The 10,698-nt window shown below is 45.8% G+C and overlaps 1 pseudogene, besides 1 other annotated feature; it reads left to right on the top strand.

Annotated features, from left to right (window-relative positions):
* Positions 1,833–2,032: an enhancer, noted in NCBI's record as "active region_19531". NCBI's record gives its function as "activates an Ori minimal core promoter by ATAC-STARR-seq in GM12878 lymphoblastoid cells {active_cell/tissue: GM12878}" and the evidence as "EXISTENCE:reporter gene assay evidence [ECO:0000049][PMID:35858748]".
* Positions 4,770–6,277, top strand: HMGN2P7 (high mobility group nucleosomal binding domain 2 pseudogene 7; annotated as a pseudogene).

The raw sequence follows: 10,698 nt of genomic DNA, 5'->3' as shown, positions 1-10,698 counted from the left end.
ATTCTCCTGCCTCAGCCTCCCGAGTAGCTGGGACTACAGGCACGCATCGCCACGCCCAGCTAATTTTTGTATTTTTAGTAGAGACGGGGATCTCACCATACTGGCGAGGTCTTGAACTCCTGATCTCACGTGATCCACTCCCCCTCGGCCTCCCAAAGTGCTGGGATTACATGGGTGAGCCACCGCGCCTGGCCTAAAATATTTTCATTTAGTTTTTTGTTGTTGTTGTTACAGAGACAGGGTCTTGCTCTAGCACTCAGGCTGGATTTCAGTGGTGCAATCATAGCACACTGCAGCCTTGACTGCTGGGCTCAAGAAATTGTCCCACCTCAGTCTCCTGAGTAGCTAGGGCTACAAGCACACACCAGCTAATTTTTACTACTTTTTGTAAGATGGGGTCTCATTATGTTGCCCAGGCTGGTTGGGCATGGTGGCTTCCGCCTGTAATCCCAGCACTTTGGGAGGCCGATGCAGGTTGATCACCTGAGTTCAGGAGTTCCAGACCAACATGTCAAAACCCCGTCTCTACTAAAAATACAAAAATTAGCCAGGCATGGTGGCCCATCCCTCTAGTCCCAGCTACTTGGGAGGCTGAGGCAGGAGAATCACTTGACCAGGAGGTGGAGGTTGCAGTGAGCCAAGATTGTGCCACTGTACTCCACTGGGTGACAGAATGAGACTGTCTCAAAAAAAAAAAAAAAAAAAAAAGAACTCTTGGCTTCAAGTGAGCCACCTGCCTCAGCCTCCCAAAGTGCTGGGATTAAAAGCATGAGCTGCCACACCTGGCCATAAAATATGAGTACTTTTCTGTATAACAACCAGAAGGTCAGAGATAGAAGTTTGTATGGGGAGAATTCCTCCTGCTGCGACATGGTCTGTGCCCTACAAACGTAAGTGTCAGCACAAGGCAAGGGAACAACAGGGGAAGGGAAAGGGCAACACCAATAATTCAGTCCTTTCTGTAGTGACAGTCAAAAGCTGCCCAAACTTGAGGGAGCTCCAAGAGTAAGATGACCAACCATCTGGGTTTGCTGACACTGTCTTGACTTTAGCATAGCAGCCACACATGGCAGGGAACTCCTCAGTGTGGGGTTCCCACAGTTGGCCACCCTACAACCATGCTGTACCCCACACACACCATTACATAGCCTTGGTTGGCCTTTGCGAAGTACCTGAGAATGGATTTGTCTCTTGTTAGATACTTCTCCAGTGGACAGTTGGGTGGAACACCATTAATCAATGAGTGCTTTTGTGCAAAACAGAAAAAGGGCCTGCTCTGGGCAAATGCAGGCCTCATAGCTTGGTGTAACACCTTTGGTAGAAGGCAGCCTTCTGTTAGGCCCTAGCTGGAGCACACAGCTTGTCAAGCAGAGCCACGGCTGGAATTCAGGACCCTGTCCTCTTAGCAGGCACCTTCGTATGGTGCACAGACCACACATTTGCAGGCAGCAGACCTGCCACTCAGACTCCAGAGAGATCTGCTCCCTGTCCCAGGTGCCTCTAACATGCACAGCACCAGGAAACACAAAACTCTTTCTTGAGCACTGAGTTATGTATTTTTGTCTAGGGACTGTGCCTGCTGTGTCTGTGAAATCCAAAATAAACACCGGATTTTTAATTTTTTCACACAGAATAAGGACCTACTGGAAATAGATGAAAAAGACATAAAAAGACATCTGGAGGGGAAATATCGAAGCCAAGAATGAGACTGGAGGTGGAATTCGGCCCTTTTATTTTGATTCTCTGATTCCAAAAAGGAACCCACTGGGCTGCAGGAGCATGGCGACCACCTCTGTCTCTTTACAGCAGCCCCTTACTCGTGGGTGGTGCTGTGAAGGTCCTCTTTCCAGCCACTCCATCTTCAATTTTGTCACTGCCCATTCTCTCACTCCTCCTTCTGGGTGTCTGACAACATGTTCATTAGATGTTTAAAATATGTTTTCTAAGTCTTTTTTCTATTCCGCTGCACATCCTATCTTTTTGTCTCTTGGAAATGAGGTAGGAGACTGGCAGGACTTGTCTTCTGGTCACAGTCCTGCTGACCAAAAGATGGTCCACACAGGATGAAGTGAAGAAACCGGTGGAAACCAGCAGATGGCGACAAAAGCAATCCCTAGCCGCCCTCATTGCTCATTAGCATAGGACACGCCCGCCAGCGCCATGACAGTTTACAAATGCCATGGCAACGACCCGGAAGTTACTGCCTCTTTCCATGACGACAAATTTTGTGGGTCATTGCCATGGAAAGGAGTAGTAACTTACTAGATCTTTCTAAATAACTTGGCCCTCAATTTGCATCAGCTTGCCCCTTAATATACAAGTAATTGAAAGTGGGTACAAGTAGATAGAGTTGCCAACAGCCCATACGTTGCAGACTCTGGGTTCATTGCCTGTGAGTTACCCCTGCTCTGTAGGGAGAGGTGCTATTCAAATAAGATTGCTATTTAACACCACAGGCTTGTCCTTGAATTCTTTCCTGGATGAAGCTGAGAACTCTTCAGGGCTAAGCCCCAATTGTGGGGCTCGCCGTCCAGCAGCAGAATCACGTTCTCCAGTCCTGTCTCCCAATTCCCTACTTCCCTCTTCAGTTTTATAGTTTTTGTCATTAAACCTATCTGCTGAACTTAGCATGTAGGCATTTATATATATATTTACACATGCATATATGTTTGTTATTACATTTTTCCCTAGAAGTTCTATTTGGTTCTTTTAAAAATAGACTACATAGGCTGGTGCGGTGGCTCACGCCTGTAATCCCAGCACTTTGGGATGCTGAGGCGGGCAGATTACGAGGTCAGGAGTTTGAGACCAGCCTGACCAATATGGTGAAACCCTGTCTCTACTAAAAATACAAAAATTAGCCAGGCATGGTGGCATGTGCCTGTAATCCCAGATACTCAGCAGGCTGAGGCAGGAGAATCACTTGAACTCGAGAGGCAGAGGTTGCAGTGAGCCAAGATCGCGCCACTGCATTCCAGCCAGAGTGACAGAGCGAGACTCTGTCTCAGATAAAAAAAAAAAAAAAAAAAAATTGACTACATTGATTTTCGTAGTTTCCAATTCATTGAATATATCAACAAGTTTGCCTTAAAAAAAATTCAGGCTGACTGTGTGTGTACTGCCTATGAGTTATCTCTGCTCCACAAGGTTAATCCTAATCTAAAAAGAAAAATAAAATGAAATAAAATAAATTCAGCTATTTGTTTAAAAAGTCTACATCTGATAATTCAATATTTGAACTCTTTGCAGATCTGTTTCTATTATTTGTCTTTTTTTCCTGCCAATTGCCAGTCTTGTACTCTATGAGTTATCTACGACTGTGTGCTGGACACTGCTTTTGGGTTTTTTTGTTTTGTTTTGTTTGAAAGTCTCCTTTTGTCACCCAGACTAGAGTGCAATGGCATGATCTCAGCTCACTGCAAACTCTGCCTCCTGGGTTCAAGCTATTCTCCCACCTCAGCCTCCTGAGTAGCTGGAACTACAGACGCCCACCACCACACCTGGCTAATTTTTTGTATTTTTAGTAGAGATGGGGTTTCACCATGTTGGCCAGGCTGGTCTCAAACTCCTGACCTCAGGTGATCCACTTCAGCCTACCAAAGTGCTGGGATTATAGGCGTGAGCCACTGTGCCCAGCCTGGACACTGCATTTGAAAAACTATGTGTAGAAATGATATGAGGCCTATGTTGAAGGCCCTTTCCTTCAGAAAGTCTCTACATTTGCTTCTGTGAGGTGTCTAGGGGTGTAAGGGTCTCAAAGCACCTTAAACCAGGCTCAAGGCTTGATATTCCCTGACCCAAACAATTAGCAATGTCTGCCATTTAAGTAAATAAATGAAGAATATAAAAGACACCCACAAAGCAGCCCAAACGCTCCCAAATCAGAAACAGTGTCAATAGAGGTCCGTTTTTGGGGCCCCCATGTTCTCACCTGATCAGTGAGAGCTAATAATGAGTCCTCTAGGCATAGCCAAAGGGCTTGTTGGTAGAAAGATCTGGCATCATAATGTGATGTGAAAGTTGTAGGTGGACTGGGAAATGTGTCAATCCATCGGACTGAAGGGGAGTGTTGAATTTAGATTTAAGACTTTTCTTTCTTTCCTGTTAATGCTGTGTTATCTGTATTATCTTAAAAGAATCACTTGTTCTCTGGGTCTTGGTTTGTCCATCTGTGAAGCAATGGGATTGCACCGCATCAGTGTTTCCCAAATTTTAATGTTCACCTGTGCCCTGGGGAGCTTGTTAAACTGTAGCTTTTGATTCAGTAAGCCTGGGATGGACTCTGAGAGTGAGTCTATCTGAGAAGCTCCCAGCTGATTCCAGTACTCCTGATCTGTGGGCCACACCTGGAGTAGAAAAGTTTTATATAAACTCTACCTTCCTCTCCTGTACAAGTCTAGGCAAATAGGGACCCACTGATTAAACAAATCCACTCCCCAACCAGATAATTCTGCCTTGTATTTCAGAACTGGGTTCCCATCGCATGTCCTCTAGAAAGCCTTGTCTGGTGTCTTTGCTTGCAGGGCATCCCACCAACAGCCTGACCATAAGCGCTGTGAGCATGCCTCTGTCATATGGCACTGCAGTCACCTGTCCAATGTCAACATCCATGTCCCCAGTACTGATATAGTGCCGGGCACATAATTGGAACTCAATAAATACTTGTGATATAAGTAAATGGAAGAACAAACCAATGTAAGTTACAACTAGAGGTGGGAGTCAGGGGTGACTCAGCATATTCCTGACCAGGGCTTTAAAAAGTCAGATATCGGAGCAGTATGAAGAAGAGGTGAGAACGACCCCCGGACCGACCAAAGCCCGTGCGCCGCTGTGTCCCGCGTCCAGCACCTACGTCCCGCCGCCGTCGCCATCGCCGCGGCCACCATGCCCAAGAGAAAGGCTGAAGGAGATGCTAAAGGAGATAAAGCCAAGGTGAAGGACGAACCGCAGAGAAGATCCGCTAGGTTGTCTGCTAAACCTGCTCCTCCAAAGCCAGAGCCCAAGCCTAAAAAGGCCTCTGCAAAGAAGGGAGAGAAGGTACCCAAAGGGAAAAAGGGAAAGGCTGATGCTGGCAAGGAGGGGAATAACCCTGCAGAAAATGGAGATGCCAAAACAGACCAGTCACAGAAAGCTGAAGGTGCTGGAGATGCCAAGTGAAGTGTGTGCATTTTTGATAGCTGTGTACTTCTGGTGACTGTACAGTTTGAAATACAATTTTTTTTTTTTTTTTTTTGAGACGGAGTCTCGCTCTGTCGCCCAGGCTGGAGTGCAGTGGCGCGATCTCGGCTCACTGCAAGCTCCGCCTCCCGGGTTCACGCCATTCTCCTGCCTCAGCCTCCGGAGTAGCTGGGACCACAGGCGCCCGCCACCATGCCCGGCTAATTTTTTGTATTTTTAGTAGAGACAGGGTTTCACCGTGTTAGCCAGGATGGTCTCCATCTCCTGACCTCGCGATCTGCTCCGCTCGGCCTCCCAAAGTGCTGGGATTACAGGCGTGAGCCACTGCAACCGGCCTTGAAATACTATTTTTTATCAAGTTTTATAAAGATGCAGAATTTTGTTTTACTTTTTTTTTTTTAAAGGTATGTTGTTAGCACACAGAACACTTCATTGTTTTGGGGGGAAGGGGCATATGTCACTAATAGAATGTCTCCAAAGCTGGATCGATGTGGAGAAAACACCTTTCCCTTCTAGTTTTGAGAGACTTCCTCTTGGCTCCCAGGAGGAGGGATTCCCTGACTTTGACACACATGGCCACCTTGGCACAAAAGCCTTGTGGTATGGAAAAACAAATTTGTTTTTATTTCTTCTTCTCCCTTTCCATCTTTCAGCATAGACTTAACTCCCTTAAGCCCAGACATCTGTTGGGACCTGACCCCTAGTCGTTGGTTACCAGTGTGTCAGGCAATCTGGACTTTCCAGTGATGCCACTGAGATGGCACCTGTCAAAAGAGCAGTGGTTCCATTTCTAGATTGTGGATCTTCAGATAAATTCTGCCATTTTCACTTACTGAAAGTCAGGGTCGGCTTGTGAAAAGTTGTTAAACAACATGCTAAATGTGAAATGTCAACCCTCACTCTAAACTTTCCCTGTTCAGAGCACCAGATGAAGACTTCATTGGGTTTATAGTGGCTTTCTGATTTTTGGTAGTCCATTGCAGAAGGGAGTTTGAAAGTTGTTGTATACTGTTAACGATTGTCTGCCCACGTCCTGCCTGAAATACCATGATTGTTTATGGAAAGTATCTTTAATAAAGCTGGATACAGTTTGGCTTGGGAAAAAAAAAAAAAAGTCAGGTCTCTGGACCAGGCGCAGTGGCTCACGCCTGTAGTCCCAACACTTTGGGGGGCCGAGGCAGGCAGATCACTTGAGGTCAGGAGTTCAAAATCAGACTGGCCAACACAGTGAAACCCCATCTCTACTAAAAATAAAATATAAAAATTAGCCAGGCTTGGTGGCAGGTGCCTGTAATCCCAGCTACTCCGGAGGCTGAGGCAGGAGAATCTCTTAAATCCGAGAGGCAGAGGTTGCAGTGAACCGAGATCATGTCATTGCACTCCAGCCTAGGCAACACAGCAAGACTCTCAAAAAAAAAAAAAAAAAAGGCCTCTGTTTACTCTCAGAGTTGGAGATATCAACTGGGCTCCTGTTATGGACTGAATTGTATCCCTTGTTCATAAATTGAAGCCTTAACCTCCCATCCCCCATGACTCTATTTGGAGATGAGCCCTTTAAAGAGGTAATTAAGATTAAATGAGTGCATAAGGGTGGAGTCCTAATCCTCCACGACTGGCATTCTTATAAAAGAGGAAGATGCACTGGGATGCACATGCACAGGGAAAAGGCCAAACGAGGACAAAGCCAGAAGGAGACTGTGTGCAGGTCATGGAGAGGGCCTCAGGAGAAGCCAAACCTGCCTTCCTCTTGGATTTCCAGCCTCCAGAAGTGTGAGAAAACAAATTTCTGTTGTTAAAGCCACCTAGGCCATGGCATTTTGTTATGGCAGCTCCAGCTGACTAATACAGCTCCTGACCTGAGAGTGGAATGGGAGCCTCTGGTTTCTAGGCTTCTCTGCCTGAACAGAAGACTTTCTGACCTCCCAGAGGGGGTGCTCAGCTTCGTTCAGCTGTTCCTCTGAGGCAGGAGATGAGATTCTCCTCTGGGCTAGTTTTGTTGGGAAGACCAGAGAAAAAGGGCTCCTCCAGATGGAATTTGTGACACCCCCCCAGCACTGCTGATTATTGTTGGTGGGACATGTCTGAATTCTAAAACTTGACCTTCAGGTACCACATTCTTGCCTGTTCACTTCCTCCTAATAACTATACCCGGATATTGTCTATGGCTATTCCTGCCTTTCCACATTCTGTTATTTTTTTTGGAGATGGGGTCTCACTGTGTTGGCCTGGCTGGTCTCAAACTCCTAGGCTCAAGGCGATCCTCCCACCTTGGCCTCCCAAAGTGCTAAGATTACAGACGTGAGTCATCACACCTGGCCCACATTCTCCCCTATATCTCAGGGGCTAGAAGCCTGGAAACTGCATTTCCCGAACTTCCTTGTCAGCTGGGTTCCTTGCCAGGTAGGTTCTGCTAGTGGGAGGCATTTATGTGAAGTTGGTTGGAAGGTGGGAGGGAGAGGCCATTTTTTTCTGTTTATGACATTTATCAGTAGGTATAGTAGGCAATTGTGGGCCTTGCAATGGTAGGGTACTGGGGCGAGGGCAGCAGGGGTGGCTCTGGGTAAGTAAGGGCCCCAATGGCTCTGGTGGCTGTTTCAATAGCATGAACAGGTGGGCTCTTGGCTGCCTGCCCAATGAGAAAGGCAGTGATTGTCGTGGTAGTGGCAGCATCAGCAACACTACAGATGCATTCGTTGTGAGTAAGCTCATGCTCATGGGCTCTGGGTAAAAACTATTCTCTCCTTTTTGTCCCTCCAGCCCAGTGGGGGTTCCAGAAGCTTCCTACAATCATTGGTTTTTTAATAGCATCACTTTCCCCCAGGGTCACGGAGAAAAGCTGTGAACATCACAAAATGATCTGAATATAGAAAACCTTGAGTGCCAGGTAAGCACCACGTCTGCACATCGTTCACATCCAGTGACTGTGCTTGAATTATTGTAGTGCAGGAGGTGTGGTAGTAACAAAGGGATGACATACCTTCTATTCCTGATTGGATGCCCAGACACCCTGGTTCTAATCTTAACCTTTCCACTCTGCATAGGTGAATGATGTGCCTCTCTGGGCCTCAGTTTCTCCATGTGTAAAATACTGTGATTGAATCACATAGTTGTTAAGCATAGTCCAGCTCTGAAACTATTCTGGGATTAGCTCTTCAGTGACATAGTTTAACAGAATCTTCTGGAGTCAGCAACAACTCAAAATAGGTGAAATAATTGGAGTAATTGAAACTTATTGACTGAATGTTTGTCACCCCTCTGCACCTCCCCGCCAAATTTACATGGTGAAGCCCTAACCATGTGGCTGTATCTGGAAATAAGGCTTTGAAAGAGGTGATTAAGGTTAAATGAAGAGAGTTCACAAGGATGGGCCCTGATCTGATAGTAGTAGTGTCCCTATAAAAAGTGGAAGAGGCCAGGCATGGTGGCTCATGCCTGTAATCCCAGCACTTTGGGAGGCCAAGGCGAGCAGATCACTTGAAGTCAGAAGTTTGAAACCAGCCTGGCTGATATGGCAAAACCCTGTCTCTACTAAAAATATAAAAATTAGGCAGTCGTGGTGGTGGGCATGGTAGCGGGCACCTGTAGTCCCAGCTATTTGGGAGGCTGAGGCAGGAATCGCTTGAACCTGGGAGGCAGAGGTTGCAGTGAGCCGAGATTGCACCACTGCACTCCAGCCTGGGCAACAGAGTGAGACTCCATCTCAAACAAAAACAAAAAGTGGAAGAGACACGAGATCTCTCTCTCCTTGCATGTGCATTCAGAAGAAATACCATGTGAGGAAACAGGGAGAAGGTGGCCATCTGCAAGCCAGGAAGGGAGTCTTCACCAGAAACTGAACACTGCTGGAACCTTGAGCCAGTAGAAAATAAATGTCTATTGTTTAAGCCTACTCAGTCTGTGGTCTTTTGTTATGGCAGTCCTAGCAAACAGGGGTCTTTGGCAAGACCGCAAACTGGAAGCTTGAAGGACAGTCAGCCACAGATGTTTGGTTTGGTTGACTTAATTTCTTTTTCTTTTTTTTTTGAAATGGAGTTTCGCTCTTGCTGTCCAGGCTGGTGTCCCCATCTCAGCTCACCGCAACCTCCATCTCCTGGGTTCAAGCGATTATCCTGCCTCAGCCTCCTGAGTAGCTGGGATGACAGGCATGCGCCACCACACCTGGCTAATTTTGTATTTTTAGTAGAGATGGGATTTCTCCATGTTGGTCAGGCTGGTCTCGAACTCCCGACCTCAGGCAATCCGCCTGCCTTGGCCTTCCAAAGTGCTGGGATTACAGGCATGAGCCACCATGCCCAGCCGATTTCTTCTTTTTTTTTTTTTTAAGACACAGAGTCTCACTGTCACTCAGGGTGGAGTGCAGTGGTGTGATCTTGGCTCACTGCAACTTGACCTTCTGGGCTCAAGCAATCCTCCCATCTCAGCCTCCCAAGTGACTGGGACTACTGGCAAACAGGTGCCACTGCACCTGGCTAATTTTTTGTATTTGTTTTGTAGAGATGAGGTTTTGCCATGTTGTCCAGGCTGGTCTCCAACTCCTGGGCTCAAGCAATCTGCCTGCCTCAGCCTCCCAAAGTATTGGCATTACAGATATGAGCCACTGCACTTGACAAATATTTTTTAAACTTTGAATTTGAATGCTTAATAATTGCAGATGTGAGATAATTTAAAAAATAGTAAGAGGTTATTCAGCGTCACTCTGACAGCATATTTGAAAACCAAGAGAAACAGATTTCTCACAAAACATGTAATACCAAAATTGACAGAGGAAAAAGTGGAAAATTTAAATGGACTAAGTTCTACAGAAGAGATGGAAAGGTAATAAGATTGGATGTTGAAGAAAGTACCAGGATGAAATGGCTGAATAGCTGAATTTTATGTAACCTTTAAAGCATGGATAATTACAATGTTAATTCAAATCCTTGCTACTTAAATTGTGGTCTACGGACCAGCAGCCGTGGCATCGCTGCGAACTTGTTGGAAATGCAGAATCTCAGGCTCACCCCAGACCTGCTAAATTAGACTTTGCATATTAACAGGATCCCTAGATGATCTGTATGCACATTAATGTTTGACAAGCACTGGACTAGGCCACTAGTTCTCAACCTTGGCTGTACATTGGAATCATCTATGGAGTTTTTAAAAAGTACTAGTATTTGTGTTTCACCCTCAGATTCTGATTATCGATCAGGTGCATGGACTAGCATCTGCATTTTATGATACTCCCTAGGTAATTAAGAATCAGAGATTTAAACTGGACCATACAAAAATATGAAAGGTTTTAAGAAATAAAGCTGACAAAGAATGTGACATACTAATTACAGTAACACATTACTGTAAAATACAGTAATGACAAAAATAATACAACAAGATCAAGCACAGTTTATTCCAGGAATACAAGCAGTAGCATGCTGGATTCACAACTAGCTATCTGAGAAAGAAGAAAACCGCCCCAATTTATAGCATTTGCCAATTCCCATGGTGTAAATACTCCCATCACGGCCAATTTTAAGCTACCAGCAT

This window comes from Homo sapiens, chromosome 3, assembly GCF_000001405.40.
Source record: "Homo sapiens chromosome 3, GRCh38.p14 Primary Assembly".
Lineage (NCBI taxonomy): Eukaryota > Metazoa > Chordata > Mammalia > Primates > Hominidae > Homo > Homo sapiens.
This window is presented reverse-complemented; position numbering and strand designations above follow the sequence as displayed.